Raw genomic sequence first — 19,558 nt, forward strand, 5'->3', positions numbered from 1 at the left:
CAGAGAAATGCAAATAAAAACCACAATGAGATACCATCTCACACCAGTTAGAATGGCAATCATTAAAATGTCAGGAAACAACAGGTGCTGGAGAGGATGTGGAGAAATAGGAACACTTTTACACTGTTGGTGGGACTGTAAACTAGTTCAACCATTGTGGAAGTCAGTGTGGTGATTCCTCAGGGATCTAGAACTAGAAATACCATTTGACCCAGCCATCCCATTACTGGGTATATACCCAAAGGACTATAAATCATGCTGCTATAAAGACACATGCACACGTATGTTTATTGCAGCACTATTCACAATAGCAAAGACTTGGAACAAACCCAAATGTCCAACAACGATAGACTGGATTAAGAAAATGTGGCACATATACACCATGGAATACTATGCAGCCATAAAAAATGATGAGTTCATGTCCTTTGTAGGGACGTGGATGAAGCTGGAAACCATCATTCTCAGCAAACTGTCGCAAGGACAAAAAAAACAAACACCGCATTTTCTCACTCACAGGTGGGAATTGAACAATGACAACACATGGACACAGGAAGGGGAACATCACACTCTGGGGACTGTTGTAGGGTGGGGGGAGGGGGGAGGGATAGCATTAGGAGATATACCTAATGCTAAATGACGAGTTAATGGGTGCAGCACACCAGCATGGCACATTTATACATATGTAACTAACCTGCACATTGTGCACATGTACCCTAAAACTTAAAGTATAATAATAATAAAAACATAAAAAGTAAAAAATAAAAAAAAAGAAGCTGTCCATATGGCCATATGTGAAAAAAACACTGGTGAATTACCAAGTGCAAACATAATATAATGTTTATATAAACTTGTACATGTGTACGTGTATTTATGTTTATAAGTATATATGAACATGTGTATACAAATATATATTAGACAATGGAAATATTTATAAGTCCTTATGGGATGTGTGTGAAACAATGGTAGAATTTCACAATAATTGAGAAAGGATCAACTATTTAATATATGATGGTGGCCCAAATGTCAACACTACTAAATGAAATGATCTCTACCTCATGTTAGACATAAAAATATATTTCAGAGGGAATAAATATCTGTATGTTGAATAATAATACTTTACTCTTTTAACAACATAATGTGGGAAATATGTGACAAATTTGTTGATAGAATGTCTTAACGAGGTACAAAACCACAAACCAGGACACCCAGTAGGTGCTCCATAACTATATATTAAAATAATTAAAAGATAAATCATATGTTTACCTTAAAGTTCTTCAAATCTTCTGTGACTGAAAAATTATTTAAAAAATATTTCAAAAGACATGGGCAACAGAGATATTTTTAACAAACCTAAGCAAATTAATTACAAAATACAACCTAACAAAAATCGGAAAATTGGAAAACGATATAAGCAAGTCACCGAATTAGAAAGCCAAATAGTCAATAAATATTTGCAAAAAGAATGTTCTCACTAGGAATCAGAAAATTACACATTAAAACCAATGAGAGATACTTAATCCTCTTCAGATTGAAAAGGCATTTTAAAAAGTGATAACCTTGAGCATTATTCACAATGTGCAGAGATGAAAACACTTAAAGAGTGTTGATGGGAGTATATTTCATTCAACTACTTTAGAGACCTCATTGCAGTATTCTGTTCCCTCTGGAGTTTCATAGAAAATTGACATCAGTTGGGAGATCTCAGCTGCAGGTCCTCTAGATCCCACTTTTCCAGCTTGTTCTTACTTGTTAATCAACATTAAGTCCAAAGAAGCAGTTTCCTTCACAGTTTCCTTAATATTCTTAGAGATGAAATTGTCAGCAAGGCAAATCAATAATTTAACACATGCCCTACTTTTTGTAGACTGAGAATCTCAGGAGACGTCCAGAGACTTAAAGTCCCTAATCTTTGTTATTTTTCTCATCCTTATAACATTTGTGGTCTTTATTAGGAAGTATCCGTATTATATCCTGCTTCTTCTCAGATAAGAGTGTTTAAAATTTCTCTATGTGTATCTTGATTCATGGCTTCAAAACCATTTGTCATGTAGAAATAATTCCCTAAAAGTGTGTCACTCTTCAGATTTTAAGAAACATCTGAATTACCGACAAGAAAATATTTCTTAACTTTTTTCAAACCGATACCTTCTTTGATAAAAGAAAAAAAGAGTCAATTCTTTCAGCTGATTTGAAATTTCAAAATAAATAATTACTAAAAATAAATCAAATCATTTGGACAAAGCACCTTTGCCTCAGGAGATTCCAATATGGCCACTTAAAGAATGTCAGTCTTTTTCTCTACTCTCTTTTTAAGAATCGCCTTAGGACAATTCTGTCTTCCATGCTTCAAATAAACATTTTGGCTGGGCACGGTGGCTCACGCCTGTAATCCCAACAGTTTGGGAGGCCGAGGTGGGCAGATCACTTGAGGTCAGGAGTTCGAGACCAGCCTGGCCAACATGGTGAAACCCCATCTCTATTAAAAATACAGAAATTAGCCAGGCATGGTGGCGCATGCCTGTAATCCCAGCTACTCAGGAAGCAGAAGTTGCAGTCAGTCGAGATTGCGCCACTGCATTCCAGCCTGGGCAACAGAGCGAGACCTGGTCTCAAAAAAAAAAAAAGAAAAAAAAATAGTGTATTTTCATATGCATAAAAGCATTAGGAATTATATATAATTTTACACACAAAAAGTAACTTAGTTGTCATACCTGTGGACACAAGGTTTCCAAATGATTGGCTGCAATTTTGACAATTTTAATTCCATCTTCATTTGTTGACATGGAACAAGCAAGATTTGCCACCTTAAATACAATCCAAAATAATGGAAATTATTTTAGATTAGCAAGGAAATGCAGCAACACTTATACTGAACAAGAACATGTACACATTCATCAAGAATCTCAATGACAAATAACATTCTCAAAATCATCACTGGTATCTATTTTATGAAAGAATTCAGAGAATCTATTAAAGCAAATAACAATAAAAGGACCTAGATAATTGTTTAAAATGAGGAGAGACTAGTGAGAGAATCAGTAAACCCTATACAGTCTCTTGGTATCAACATCTAACCCATAATAAGAAGCTATTGTGAGACTGGAAAAACAAAAGTTTATCTGTGGATTGAATGCTAATAGGTTTTTGGAATCTCATATGATTGTGATTTATTTTAAATTTGTAATTGGTTTATTATTTCCCAGAGGTCTATTACTCATATTTAAGTTGCATTAAGTATGACTGTATCTTTATACATTTTGTTTGCATCAAATATACTACAAAGCTGAACAAATACAAGATAATTAACTTCTTCCTGCTCTTGATTTTCCACTACAACTTCATGGGCACTGTTTGACATTCCTGCAGTGCATTTGATTCAAGCATTAGTGACACCCAAATTTCTCTTATATTATTGCTTTTGAAATTTACATTTTCTTCCAACAAAATGAGTGCTGTTTTAATTACCATTATGTCCATGACCTAAATCCAAGGTTTACAAATACTTTCTTCAGACCATGAAAGAGCCATGATGAAGAGTGAGAGGTTATTTTCCCTTCCTCTGCACCCCACTCTTGTTCAAGATTCTTCTTACTAACACAGTAAGGCTTATGGACAGAGGCAATGTTTTCTCTGATCTACAAAATATCTCATTGTCTTTATCATTGCAAGGATTTACTTTATCTAACAGTAATTTTTCTAACTTTTAAAATATCTCTGTCAGTTGTTTTATACTTTAACGCATTGCAGTTTTTCCTGCTAAGATCTAAAATACATCCAGTTGCGGAGAAACTACGCATTAGCCACATGCAGTGGAAATAAACAACATATGACTTTGGATCACTATTTTAAAAGTACCACAAAATGTTATTTAAATGGATTTACAGTCTTTGCTTTTTTATAACATTTCTTTTAATATGCCAATAGTGAAATAACTCCTCGGTTTTCATTCACATATAATGAAATAACAGCCATACATTATTTAACTGTGGAAGGGCATTGCTCACTTTATTAATGTACATGGGGATGGCTTACTTGAAAAGGTCTTTTGTTGGCTTGAAGGTCACAATGCCTCAACTTTCATAATTTCTGACACATAATTAGCACATTTGTGAGTTGTTTGAAAAGGGCAACAGTTTCTGTGCCCCTTTCCACTCCCCAAACCCCAATCACTAAAAGTGAAACTTGACAGTCTAATTGCTTTAATTTGTATTATATTAATTCACACTGCATTTGCAAAAAATACTGACCTGTAAAATTGAGCACTGTTTGTTTAAAGTAAAAAAATAAAAATAAAAATAAAAATCATTGGCTCAATGTGGTCAAATTAGAAGAATGCTGGTTAACCCAAAGCTTAGAAATTATAAAAAACTGGCCCTATGTAGATACTTTTTTATTTTACTTACTTATATTTACTGTATCCTCATTTTCTTCTTTTTCCTTTTGAAAGTATACATTCTTCTTCTGGATATTTGCTGGCCACCGAGGCTTATTAAAAGCCAATTAAGTGACTGACATAGTATAGAAATTATGTTAAACACAGTGTGTGTTTATATTAGCAGAATTAATTTTATACAACCCTCTAATGAAAATACAACACAACTGAAAGTTGTGTTTTCTACTCAAAGTTTTCTGCTCAGTCATCATACTAACACTCTTTTTGTCTTCATGTATTCTATGCCTGCACATACTTGAACTTCTCCTTACCAGAACTGTTCTGTCAAAGTTACTAGGTAATAGAGTATATTTCAAGTCATGTGCAGTTTTAGTGCTATTGTGTACAAACAAGGTCGAATTTTAAGATAAGTAATATCTGTGACAAAACAGAAAAGTGTTAGAAATAAAATATCTTTACATTTCAAATTTGAATGATTTTATGACATATTTTCTAATGTTACATCAGTGTGTGAATAAAGCCAAATTTCTTCTAATGATGATTCTTCCTAAATTCTGCATGGCTCTTTAGTCAAGTATGTTCCCAAGAACAGTAGAAATGTAATTCCCTGCTGGTCAAAGAATACAGCCTGCAAATAAGATGTTCTGTAAAAATAGTTTTAGATATTTGGACATTTGATATCCTTTGTGTATCTGCGCAAAATGTGGGCAAAGCTTTGTTGGTATTCATAAGATCTCTGTAGAATGTTTCTGCTCACTGAGGGAAACAAGGATATCGGGAGTTTTTGGAGACAAACAGATTTGGGTTTGAACCCAGTTCCTACAGTTAATAAGCTTCTGATTATGAGCAAGATATTAAATTATTTGATCTTGTTTTGTCACCTATAAAATGAGTATGATAATGATGACCTCACTGGGATGCTTTGAGAATTAAACGAGATAATGTATGGGGAGAGTCTGAAGCCTGGTGGCCCTCACCATGTATGAATTGCCTTCCATTTAATCTATCTCTCAACTAATGGAAAGAAAAAGAAAAGAAAAAAAGAAATTTCATACTCTCAGAGGTTTTGTAGAATTAAAGCCTTAGGAGCCTAAAGAAATTTAACAATATGTCTGACCCAAGAGCCACAAACTCAAATGCTTTCAAGAGCCATGCAGGGGATGGGATACAAACATTGAGTCTAGATTGAACTCAGTAGTAGGCTGGGGTTGTGGGTCCCCAGACAAAATGATTATGTATGCCCTACTGAAAGGCATTCATTAAAACGAGAGAAATGAAAGGAAAAACTCAATGTCTTAGCCAAACTAACAGTCTGTTGGCTTACTTTAGTTCACAGGTCACCATTTTGTGACATTTAACCCCACTCTCTAATCTTATATTGTATAAATAAGAAAACAAAATTAAGCAGGGGGATGAAACATACTCAAACCAACCAATGGCAGGGCGACTATTAACTAGCAATATGTGTATGTCCTTTTTGCTACCCTGAAGAAAGTCTTGAAAAGCATTCTGGCATTGAAATGATTGACCAGACTTTTTATTGGTATTTTGCTACATCCTTAACCAAGTCTACAAAAAGCAGAATCTAAATTATCTTAAATAAATGGGACAAAAGGTAGTTATTTAAATTTACACATTTATTGAAAAGAAAAACCTGGGACAAAATGTTCTTTCATTTTTATGAAAGATTAAATTACATCCTTAAAATAATTACCAATATTGTAATAATTTAAAAACAAACAAGAAGTCTTCAAACAGGGATATGTGTCTTGTTATGAGAGGAGAGTGAAGTTTTTTATTAGCATCCCTCTCTTGCAGCTCTTTCCTTCCCACCATTCCTTCTGCCCTCTAAAATGTATGGTATATTCTAGGCCCTTTAAACATGGCTGACCTTATTGCCCTATTTGGGCTCTAAAAAACATTGTAGATGAGAATGCCTAGCCAGACAATTCCTCAGCTGAACAATCATGTTAATGTTTGTTCCCTTCCTTCTGGTTCCTAGTTCAAGTTCATTTTATTTACTTATTTATTTAGAGACCAAGTCTCACTAGGTCGCCCAGGCTGGAGTGCAGTGGCTCGATCTAGGCTCACTGCAACCTCCACCTCCTGGGCTCAAATGATCCTCCCACCACAGCCCCTCAAGTAGCTGGGACTACAGGTGCGCACCACCACACCTGGCTAATTTTTGTATTTTTTGTAGAGACGGGGTTTCGCCATGTTGGCTAAGCTGGTTTTGACCTCCTGACCTCAAGCAATCCATCTGCCTCAGTCTCCCAAAGTGCTAGGATTACAGCCATGTGCCATGGCACTGACCCCTAGTTCCAGTTCTGTATACTAGTTAGTATGTTTCTGTCATGATTTCCATTTGCTGGACTTTGAGTCTTTTCTTTCACTCAGCAGAGAACATAGTATCCTTCACTCCCTAACCCATGGTTTCAGGTGAGAAATTCCCTGTTGTGGAGCCTGGCCTTGTAGAATCCTGACACCTAGGCTAGTTCTGTCCCTCACTCTCTATCAAGGTCAGGAGGATGATCAGGCTTGAAACAAAAGGATGAGTCACCAGTGGTAGAGCCAGGGACGGCAATGAAACAGATATTTTGAGATGGAAAATTTTTTCAATGACCCTTTAAAAAAGATCTACCATACTATAGGTTAAGTCTGCTTTTCATCATTACTTTGTTCTAATCTGGTAAAGATATTCTATTTTAAATAAATTGAATATCAGAGCATGGTATGTTTTAACGTTCTAGTATTAAGTTTTATCTGAAATCTCAGGGGCACTGGTAGTGTTCTCAGTCATCTTAGAAAACTGAAATGAAATCATTGTTAGGAATGAGTACACTATTTGGACAGCTGCTTATCACATATCATTCAGTCTGTCACCAAGAAGTTCCCACACAGGTATTTACCTGTAATATGATCTCTCCAGAACACGAAGCAAACCTTGATGTTTGCTGAGATTTTCATTGTCACACATTCATTGTTTATATATTGTTCATATAGTTAATTGTAATATCATGTCACCACGTCTCCTAGCTCTCAATGGGGGAGAAAGGTCACTGTCTCATTTTCATGCATTTTCCCATCTGGCAATTGGTCATGCAACTCTTGTGTAAATACTTCCAGAGGCAGATAATTTATTGTCTTCCAGGGCAGTCTAGTCCCATTGCAGGACAGCCCAAAGTTACAAAGTTACACAAGTTATGAAGTTCTTCTTTATAAGGAGATGAAATATTTCTCTCAACAAATTTCTCCTACTTGTTCTAGAATACAGAATGGCAAATATATTCAATAATGGAAATAAAATGGGGCCTACAAAAAATCCAAATCAATAGTCCTCAACTTGTGGGATAAGAGAGATGGTAAGAGTAATAGAATCACCAGTAAATAGCTATTAAAAAGAAAAGTCCAATTCCCTTCTGTCAAGATATTCTGATACATTAAGTGTGTATACGCATGGAAGACAGAGGTGTAAGGACTGTATAATTAGATTTTTTAAAAGTTCTCCCAGGTGATTCTGATATACCACCTCCCCCATCTCCAACACATACACACACACAACAACAACAACAACAACAACAACAATACACACATGACAACACACAGATACATACTAGGATTTTGGTTAATTTTCATGTGTTTGAATAGACAGTCTTTCCCGAAGATAAATGTACTGAGGTGAAAGTCTAAAAAAGAATGACCTGAACATGTGTGGGTTAGCGTAGGAAGTTTAATAGAAAGCTTCACACATTAGAGGCAAGAAATAATGACTTAAACTTCTACTTGAGAAATAGAGAAAAGGCTAAAAATTAAAATAAGAAAATCAAGTATAGGGGATATTCTGGCCTTCCATCCAAAATCCATTCCTCCCTTTGGTAATAACACTGATTTCCCTCGGAGAACAGTTCTTTTTCTAACCTAGTGGTGTAAAGTCTTGGTACGACTGTCAATCAAGGATCCTGGTCCTCCCCTAGGTCTAGCCTGGGCATATCCCTTACTTACTAGTGCCACCTACAGCCCTGAATCACTCTTTGTTCTGTCGAATCTTAGCCTTCTTTCATTCTGATTTATGTGCATTACCTTATGTCTTCCATAAAGTCTTTATTTCTTTTTAAGTAAGCCAAATTTATTTTCCTTTGCATACAACCAGAGAACCACGATTCTTAGTAAGTACTGAGCCAGAAACTTATACCCTAAGAATGTACTAATCTCAGATGGATACTTTCAACAAAGTTGAAAGCTGGTAATGTATAACCATAATTATTTCTGTGAAAGGCAACTTCTCATTAAATGCCTGCCTCTGGGTTTAGTCAGCCTGCATGTCCTAGTGTTAGGAACAAATGTAAGGAAGGAGACAGTCATATCAGTTCCTGCACATACAGATAAGTGTCTTCCTTTGACGATCTAATTCTTCAATGTCTATTAGAACATGTTACATATCAGGTACAAGAGAACATCTAATTCTTGAAGAAAATAATTTATCATTTTTGAGTTTATCTTTCAGCAAGCTGCTCATTCTGTTTGAAAACCACCCCTCACATACTCTTTGAAAATCATACCTATACTTCAAGGCCTGGATCAAATATTGTCTCTTCCACAAACTCTTTTCAGATGCCCAGGATCCATATCTTTATCTTCCCACACTCTCGCATTATAGCGAATTCTCCTTCTCTCTAAACTCATTTATGTATCTATCAGATGGTGAGCTGCTTGAGGGTAAAGACGATGATATATTCTTTTAAAAATATTTTCCCATCAAGTTAAATACCCCGAAAATAGCATTTCATCTATGTAAATAAATAAAAATAATAATTTATCTCTATCTGGAACTGAATCATTGTTAATATAAATTATTGTCTATTGTGTCTGAAATTAACACATTTGGTGAATTCTATTTTTTAAAGTCCTGTGTACAACTTAATTTGTTCGTTGGAAGCTGTGTCCTTTCTTCCACTCCTTCCTAATAAAAATGATCCTAATTCTGTACCGTATGAATATAAAGGTAAGAATTATTGCTTTAGGTTATGGGGGGAAACACCTGAGAAAAGAAAGTCCTTAGGTTATTAAACTTAACTGCCCCGAGTGGATTTCAGTCTGACTGTGTATATTCATTGGAAACATCAAGATTAGACAAATCTGTAGCAAAGATACAAATAAACAGAGAAAAACTTTGAATATGGGTGTGGAAATAATCTAGCTGAAATGTGTTATTTATTTTTAACTTGTATTGGCAAAGGAGACTTGGGCTTCTTTCTGAATTTAGAAATAAATGGCAGTTCATAAAAGCTTGTGAAGAAGCATGAAGAAGGAAAAATGGTGTCTATGCCCCTTGGACACAGTAGTAAGTAGCAAAACTACAAAGTCACTAGCCAAATCACTGATAGATGGAACACTAGAAGTTCTTCAGGTTGGTAGGAGATAGCAAGAGTTGAATCAGATACTTTGAGTTTGAGTTGCCACTGAGATACATAAGAAGACATAAACTACATATAGTTAGATGTGTAGTTAAGAGGGGGTCTACAGTAGAGATATTAATTAAGAAGTTACTAGTTTATTGATGGTAATTAGATATGATTATGTGAGGAGAAAAAGTTCTTGGAGGTATATAAGATATTAATATTTATTAGGCAGAAACATGAGGTTACTCCTTCAATGAGACTTAGAAAAAGTGGCCAGAGATAAGAAAGGTTGCCCACAATACTGTGATGTCATGGAGACCAGGAGAAGAAAAGGTTTCAAGAGGATGATATCATATATCAACTGCTGAGAGGTCAAGTAAGTTATCCCTGAAAATATCCAGTTCAGCCACAGAGACAACCATGCTAATCATTCCTAGAGTGTTCAAGTCAAATGATGATGGTTAAACTAGTCTGACATGAACAGAGGACTGTGTATGAGGTAAAGTAACCCCATGAGTCTTATGACTCAAGGCAGAGAGCTACAGGTCGCCTGGATAATACTCACTCTCTCATTCTCCCATCTATCCATTTTAAAACATTTTACCTCTCAGTAATATCTCAAATCATGTATTAGGTTGGTGCAAAAGTGATTGTGGTTTTTGCAATGGCAGAAACTGCAATTACTTTTGCACCAACCTATATTTTTGCTGTCCTCTACCCTAGTTAAGATTTTGATCAGTTTTATTTATTTTATTCTTGTTTCCAGTTTTAGCTTTTGTTGTCAGCAAATGTTCTTTCTCTACAATATGTTCACATTGCAGCCAACAAATTTTTTCAGATGCAAATTTGGTTCCCCCATCATCACCTTTCCATCCCCACATCATACCCCCATCCCTACTACGTCTTGCAGTCTGGCCTGAGAGTCATCATGTGTAGTTCTTGTTCTCTCTTTGCTTCAGCTATATCAATGTACTTTTATGTATCAATGCTTGCTTCTGCCAGAAAACATCTGTACATACTGTTCTCTGTTGGCTGGAATGCTCTCTTCCTCCCTTTTCACAGCCACCTTCACACCACTTATACTTGCTTAACTGCTATCCATCAGATCTCTGCTCAAAAGTAATTCCTTGGAAAGTTTTTCACCAACACTGTCCTCCACCTCCACACAGAATACCTGAAACTTCTGCCCACCTAAGTCAGATTTTTCCTTCAGAGCATGATTCTCAGTTTATAATTATATGTTCACTGGGAAGATTATTTGATTAGCATACATTTCCCCAGATTTATAAAAGCAGGGACCACCCCTGTATTTGCTCATCATTCAGCCTACAGTGCCAGTACCTGACACACAGTAGACAGTCTATAAATAGTTCTTTGGGGAGTGAATGAATGCATGAATGCCTGAATCAGTATGCTTGAGAATGTATCATCTTCTTGATGAACATGAGATGACAAATAGAAGAAAAATGGGTTTTAAGGGAGGAGTCAGCAGCAGAAATTCAGGACAAGAAATAAAGAGGAATGAAATTTTTCCTTTGAAATTCATTTTCAATATTCTACAAAGGCTTAGACAACTGGACTTTCAAGAAAAGTACTTGTTTTTCTTCTAGTCTGGCCATCATCCTTAACAAGGCTTGGGGGGCAGCTTCTTTCAAGTTTTACCTTCACTTAAGATATCAAATATGGAACTACTGAATAGGTCCCAATTTAGCTTTTAATTTATTTATTTTTAATCAAGTAAAGTAACTCTTAAAGGGCCCAAGCTGGATGCCAAATGTTGGCAAGTGTGGCAGATGGAAAGAGGCACAGTAACTTCCATAGACAAATCCAAGAGCTTCATTGTCTATTTCAGAATGTAATATATGCTCTGCTTCTGATAATTGCAGAAAGAGCTCTGATCTCCCCATGTTGGCACCGAATGACCTCTGGCTAACAAGTCAGCCCTTCTCTTTCTCCTAGTGAAGCAGCGCTGCTCTGCTTCCCTTGGTAGTAATAAGAAATGATTATGAATTATGGGTTCTGTAGAATATTTAACTAATATAACTGTGCTGTAAAAGCACATAGCAAATTGCAGGGAAACAATTTCATCAACTAACAAATATTGATTATGCACCTATTATGTGGGCTGGGAACTGTCAGGGAAATGATAGAAGTCAAAATCAATGAAAGTGAATCCCAACAAGCACAATCTATTTAAAGGGACACGTGAAAGGATCAAAAACTAAAACTCTGTCTCCAAATACTACAAGAAGATAGAGGTAGGTGAACTTCATAGAGATGACTGTAGTAAGAGTGTTACATGGAGACAAATTATTACTTAGGAAATTCATATTCTCTTGAACTTTGCATCTCAAGCTGCTTCCCAAATTTTATGAATCCTCAATCACACAATCCGGTCTCTGATATTAGTTTTGCTTTACCTCTCTGTCTTTGGTCATCCATCTATAAGATGAGGAACAGATTGACTTCATTTCTAGACCTCTTTCCATTTCAATAATTTTGTTTTACTGCTTATGTAACTGATAACAAAATTAGACAGAAATTAGACAAAGGAGAAGAGCTATCAGGCAACGTTCCTATTAATTTAAACATGAATTTGTAGATGAAATATTAGCCAATTTAATTCAACTGTGTAATAAAAAATAATAATAAAGCAAGACAATGTTGTTTATTCCCAGAATGAACAAATGACTCATGACTGAGAGATCTAATACTGAAATTCCTTTTTGAACTGGATATCAATAGATTTTTAAAAAGCATTGATGACAGGTTTATGCCTATTCTGATTAAAGCAAAGCAAAACTACACTAAAAAACAAACTCAAAACCTTAGCAATCTATGAATAGGAAGAATAATTCTTAATCTCAAACAAAATCCAGAAATTTCCAGCAAGTGTCATGCTCAAAATTCAAGATTAAGATAAGCATTCCCACTATAAGTGAGGTTAATCAATATTTTACTCAAGGTTCTAGTAAATCTAAATGAATAAAAAAAAGCAATAGATGCAAATATTGTTAACAAATAACTATATTTATTCCCAGGTCTCAAAATTGTCTACCTAGGGAAAACAAGATTATCTGAAAACTGTTATTACTATTGAGTATTCGGTAACACTTCTTCATGCAGAATGAATGTGAGATGAATAATATATTTTTCTATATATTTTAAAAGTTTTCATGACAAAATTTGTTATTATAGCAACTAAATATTATAAATTTCATAGCAGTATATATCTATTGAAATAAGCACAATTATAGATATGTGTGCATATCTATAGATGTATTAAATTTTACTTAATGATATAAAAAGAGAATGGAATGAATAGTGAGAAATATCAGATTCCTGGATGGAAAAACTCAGTATTGCAAAATATAATGTTATCTCTCATAAAATTTGTCTATTAAATTTATAGAGCTATACTGAACTTAGGTAAATTTTAATGTGCATCTGGAAGAATATATGAAAGGCTGGCAAATAAGTTTTATAAAAATGGGGAATGGGCTGGGTACGGTGGCTCACGTCTGTAATCCCGGCACTTTGGGAGGCTGAGGTGGGTGAATCTCCTGAGGTCAAGAGTTTGAGACCAGCCTGGCCAACACGGTGCAACCCCATCTCTACTAAAAAATACAAAAATTAGCCGGGCTTGGTGGCGCATGCCTGTAATCCCAGCTACTTGGGAGGCCGAGGCAGGAGAATCGCTTGAACCTGGGAGGCAGAGGTTGAAGTGAGCCGAGATCACTTCATTGCATTCCAGCCTGGGTGACAAGAATGAAACTCCATCTCAAAAAAAAAAAAAAAAAAAAAGAATGAAGAAAAGTATTATGTGCCAGTAATTAAAAACACAAAAATTTAGTGTTTTTCAGGGTAATGGTAAAAAATATTGGTGATGGCCCAATTTCCTGCTCTCTACTTTCAGGAGAAAAGTGCAATTATGTAAAAAGGCTAGAATATATTACTACATAAAAAATTTTAAATGTCAAAATATTGAAAATAAAGTTAAAATACAAAAGATAGGCAAAACTTTGTTTTTATATTTGATAATAAAAATTATTATCCACAGGTATAAATAGCTCCTAAGTATCAATAAGGAAAAAAGGCCATTAAAAATGGACAAAATATTTAAATAGAGACTTTACATATGAAATATGACTAATAAATACATGAAAAGATTCTCAGTCTAGCTCTTACTAAGCAGGATATTCAACTAAGCAAGAAAATCACGGTTTTTGCTCATCAGATCAGAAATATGTAAAAAGTTTTTGATATTATCCAATACTGCTGAGAATATGGGGATACAACTGGAAGGTAAATGGCCAACTTTTCAGAGAGCAATTTAGTTTCACCTACGAAAATTTAAAATGTTCAGAACTGTAGCAATTCAATTTAATGGAATCTGTCATTCAGAAATACTTGCATATGTGAACAGACTCACAGCCACGTGAAAACTTTATTTGTAAAAGCGAAAATGAATCTAAATATTTAACAGTGGAGAATAAATTATGTAATATTATGATTCTGTAAAAAAAATAAAATGTTATGCTGCTGTAAAATATCTCAAGTATATAATTTTAAGTGAGATACTGCAGAATGGAAAACATGATTCTATTTAAAATTATTTACTTACATGACCAGGTGCAGTGGCTCACGCCTGTAATCCCAGCACTTTGGGAGGCCAAGGCGGGCAGATCACGAGGTCAGGAGATCAAGACCATCCTGGCTAACATGGTGAAACCCCGTCTCTACTAAAAATACAAAAAATTAGCCGGGTGTGGTGGCGGGCACTTGTAGTCCCAGCTACTTGGGAGGCTAAGGCAGGAGAATGGCGTGAACCCAGAAGGCAGAGCTTGCAGTGAGCCGAGATCCTGCCACTGCACTCCAGCCTGGGCAACAGAGCAAGACTCCATCTCAAAAAAAAAAATTATTTACTTAAAATTATGTATAAATGCAAAGTATAATGTCCACAGTGATAATTCCTACTGTTAATTTGAGTTATATATGGGAGAGAAGGTAGGATTACTATTGCTATGAAGAGAAGTATCCCCTTTTGACTATGTTTCTATATCGACTGAAGTTTTTCCAAGTATATTTTTCACTATATTAACAGTGAAATTAGTTTTCTAATTTACAAAAAAACGCGATTGATGAAATAGTCCTATATGTATTGGTGTATATGGAACACACCAATGACAAGTAAAACAGCATGTGTAATAATCTCATTTATGAAAGATGGTAAGGTTTTGTGTATGCATATGGAAATGTGATATCCAAAATGATCCTCCCCAAAATGGCAATTGTGATGATCTCTGAGGAGTGAAAATCAAGGTAATTTCAACTTTCCTTTTCTATATTCTTAATAATTTATAATTTGGCTTATTATAATAAAAATGAATCATTTTGAAGAGAATAAAACCTATCTATACCTGTATGTGAATTTTTAATACCAATCAAGAAAATTGTATTAATCATGACACTTATTGCGAAGCCTGAAGATACAGAACCATTTATAAATAAGGTTTCCAGAAAATACACATATATAATGATTACATAGAAAAAAATGCTGCTAAGCAGAAAATAGTTTTCATGGTCTCATATGCTGTTATATTTAAAATGATGATTCACAAAAATGATTGAGAATTCACAGTAGGGAAACAAGGCACTGGTTTTACCTTGTCTTAATGTCAAATAATGGCACAAAAACAAGTCAATTAAAGCTTCTTATCAATGACAAAATCATACCAGCCAATATTGATCTTAATAATGAATTTAAATTCAACATGTTTGGAAAGGTACTCTGTGCATGGTGTGTGTGTGTGTGTGTGTGTGTGTGTGTGTGTGTCTGCAGCAGATATAAGGTAATGATTCTTATGATTGAATAATTATAACATGGTCCTACATTTCTTCCTTTTTCCTATCTTACTCACACCTCCAATTCTATTCAAATTTGTGTCTGAAATTCTTGTCCCTCTCAAATAAGTCATTAAAGATGAAAATATTCATTTGTCTAAGTGGACATATGTCAACATTGTTCTGAAAAAGAGGTATCAGTATGCTGCGTCAGAATGTGCCATCACAAAAGAAGCAATTGAGATGAAAACACACATACACACAAACTCAAACATATTTGGCTGTTACAGTATTATTGCTTCCAATAAATTATGAGAAATATATGTTACATAGCTCAAATTGAAGTCTGCAATGTAGACTGCTCTAAGAGTCCCATTTTGCCAAATATATTTCCCTTTTAGTTTGGAACAATATATAACTGTAAATGGACACACACACCTCATATTGCTGTGTGATGTAAATTATAATGGTAAAACCAGCTAGATAGTTTATTCAAGGTCCCTCTCTAAATTAAGCTATTATTCACCTCAGAATCACCACTCAAAGGATAAAAGTATGTGTCACCTGCCTAGTAAATTTAATATAATAAACAGTACCAAATAAAATATATTGAAGTACCAAAGAGATGAAACAAATCTAAACTATAAATTAAAGACAGGATTAAGTGTTGTTTCCTAAACTAGTGTTATTCTTTGTTGTCACTGAGGTCAAGAATAAATATGAAGCATGCAGGTCTAATAAGTGTTTATTAATAGGATCATTGTGGAAAGGGTAGATGTCAAAACAATGCTATAATTAGCTTTCATTATCATTGAAATTGCTGTCAAATTTCAAAGCAATTTTATGACCAGTGACCTGATTTCTCACATGGCAGAAAGAGAAGGGATTTTCTTAAAGAGAGATACAATATATTAAAGCCAATATAAAGTTTTCAGTGAGTCTATTTCTGAATCAACATGTTTTGTACATATTGCACTGTTCAAATGCTATCATGGGAACAGAAGGTGTTGCATAGGACAAAGTTAATTGAATTGCAATTGTGTAAACTTCCTGGATGTGGATGAGACCATCAATATCACCTGATTCCCTAACTAATCACGAAATACACACCCAGATTCATTCCTTACTTTCACAAAAGAACGGGTCTCTTAGTAGAATGACAGTAGGCAATCAATCATCTGGCAACTTCTATCTTCGAAGACATCATAACAATAATCTGTGAAACTATTTTTTTCCTGTAGGCATCTATTTATTATGACTTTGAAGGAAATAGGCAAAGAAGCTTTGAAATTTACCATAATTATAATCCCAGAGAAAGCCCCTTGTCTCTGAGTATAAATTGCCGATAATGAGTGAAACAAATTGGAAGAACACTGTGTGTGTGTGTGTGTGTGTGTGTGTGTGTGTGTGTGTGTGTGTGGAGTGGAAGAGAGGCAAGCACATTTGTGTATGTATATATGAAGTCCGAGCAAAATTTACAAATATGTGCATGTACTATTATTAAATACTATGATTTCATATCCCCTCATTCTTGGGTCCCTGAATCTCAGGAGGGCTCCTTGAATGTGTTCTGCATTTAATTATATGATAAAAATGAAGTATAGCTAATTATGTAATATAGAATTAAAAGAAAATAAAATATTTAGGCCCTTTAACGTTAGCAGGGGCATAAGCTATTACAGGTTTAATCTTAACTACCCCTGTACCTCTACAGCACACTGAAATACTGGACACATACTGTGAGTAGTGGCCATTACTAGAGGATAGGATAAGACACTTGCAGTGTAATCTTAGTAATTTTTTTAAATATATATTATTTATGGTTCCTAGTAGTTCTAGAAGGGAGGAGGGAGGAGTAAGAAGGGATCTTGTATACTAACCTTCCATAATTAGAGCAAACCAACATATGAATTCTATTTGCACAAGGTTAAATTGTGAAATCCTTGAAGACAGAAACCATCTTACTCCTCTTTTTGGTTCTAAGATATTGCAAGCAGTGGGTTCTTAAAGCTTCTGTTGAATACATTTAACCCAACATTGCAAATAAAATATTTTTCACGTTGTCTTCTCTATACTTATTTATGATTGATCTCTTTACAGAGGCCTAAAGACAACAACAAAATCCACAAATATTTATTATCTATCAGGCATGTTCCAGGCACTGAAAGAAAAAGAAGAGAAGATGGGGAAAAAGTAGTTGCCATGCTTCAATAAATGAGAGATTTAGATGTAAATACACAAAACATTTAGAGCTATTAATAATGAAAACATTTAAATGACAGTGTATACTATGCTAAACGAGTAAAACACTAAATGCTGATGGGCTTCATAATAAGGAGATAACGCAGTGAAGCTTTAAAAAATGTTAGCTGGATAGTTTTAAAAAGTCTTAAAGAAAGACAATTTCTATATATCAATTGAATTGTTTAATAAAACTCTAAAAATAAGACTGTCATATAAAAATGTGTTGATAGAAAACATAGAAGTTTTAATATTAATAAATCCCAGTAACAGAAGATTTTTGGATAAATCAGAAATGTTTCGTTTAAATACAAATTCTCTTTAAGAAATAGTGAATGGTCTAATGAAAACTGTTATTGCAAATACTGAAAGTTACATTGCATGTTATTTTATTTCTATCCTTATTACAATACTTCCTATGTATTTAGTTGTTTTCAATTCTTATGTCAAGTAACATGAAACTTAAATCAAAATTCAAGAAAGCAATGCTGCATTCAAGGTAGCTCCATGCACATCAGCCACATGGCACTACATGGTTGCACCAGCCAGGCCTGGATTCTCACCAGCATTGCTCAAAGGCTCTGAGTCTGAGTCACAGGAGTTGGAGGGCATTTGCCATCAACTAGTCCAGTTTTTGACCCTGTTTCAGAAGGCTGGCTTGCTTGCACTGCACCTGGAGCCTTTCAAACCGTTGTCAGGCTCAGCCTCTGAAGAAAGAAATCCCACAGCATTCTGGCTTTGCTCAGTGTATGCCGTTTTGTTCCAGAAGTCAGGAGACAGGTTGCTTCCTTCCCCAGCTCTTGAGGGCAGAGGCTGAGCTTTCTCACCTATGAGATGGTAACCTTAATGAGCACCTCCCCCTTGGGACACAGAGTACAAAGCGTCCTGGATGCTCAGTAGCCAGAAACAGAGAATGCCAATAAAAGCCCAGTTCATTTTTCATCACAGAAGTTAGAGTCCTACCCTCACCTTCAGCCTCTGACTACTATGGATCCCTCCTGCCCCTGGCTGCCAGTCTTTGGAAAGCACACCCACACCTTGTTGGTTAATTAACACTAATGGGCAGCTGCCATCCCTGCATAAAACCACAACCATGGCTGGATTACTTGAGGGCTGATTATGCTGTTTGTCCAGGCACAATGTTTCTCTTCCCTAACAGCCTACCCTTTGGACCCTGATGGCTCATTATCACCTTCCACCACTGGAAGAACAAGACAAGACTGTCAGCTGCGTCACTTCTCACATTTCCAAGAAAAAGCTTAAATCTAAGCAATGCCATTCTAGGCGTTCTCTGCAAGGGTTTTTAGCTTAGCAAAATCCCTCTTGCAATCTTTGTTCATGATTTTGTCTCAAATTCTGAATTATCTTATTAAGAACTGGAAACTGTTCCTGCAAGTGACTTGTTTTTAAATTTGCTTTTCAGACATCTCTAAGGGTTGCTGGCAACTCAAGTGCAATTCGTGATTTCCTCTTTCCCAGCACATTCTATTTAGCCTATTAATTTCAAATGAATGTATTTTCCCTGCATCCTCTAGAAGCGGACTTTAATTGAATATAATATCCTCCCGCCGCCGCCCACCCCTCCGCCGCCCCAACTCTAGAAGTGGACTTCTGGGCGGGGGCAGGCAATTATATTCAATTGATATTAATAGGCTTAATCTATTCACTTGAAATTAATAGG

General features: G+C 35.3%; 1 protein-coding gene across 8 annotated transcripts in view; it reads right to left on the reverse strand.

Annotated features, from left to right (window-relative positions):
- The window catches only part of CTNNA3 (catenin alpha 3), a 1,851,072-nt gene that overhangs the window by 706,458 nt on the left and 1,125,056 nt on the right, over positions 1-19,558 (reverse strand). For all 8 annotated transcript variants that reach the window (XM_047425124.1, NM_013266.4, XM_017016152.2 and 5 more), the window contains one exon: positions 2,712-2,804. In XM_047425124.1, the coding sequence (XP_047281080.1) occupies positions 2,712-2,804 (93 nt within the window). The remainder of the gene's footprint in view (positions 1-2,711; positions 2,805-19,558) is intronic.

Source organism: Homo sapiens, chromosome 10 (assembly GCF_000001405.40).
Source record: "Homo sapiens chromosome 10, GRCh38.p14 Primary Assembly".
Taxonomy (NCBI): Eukaryota; Metazoa; Chordata; class Mammalia; order Primates; family Hominidae; genus Homo; species Homo sapiens.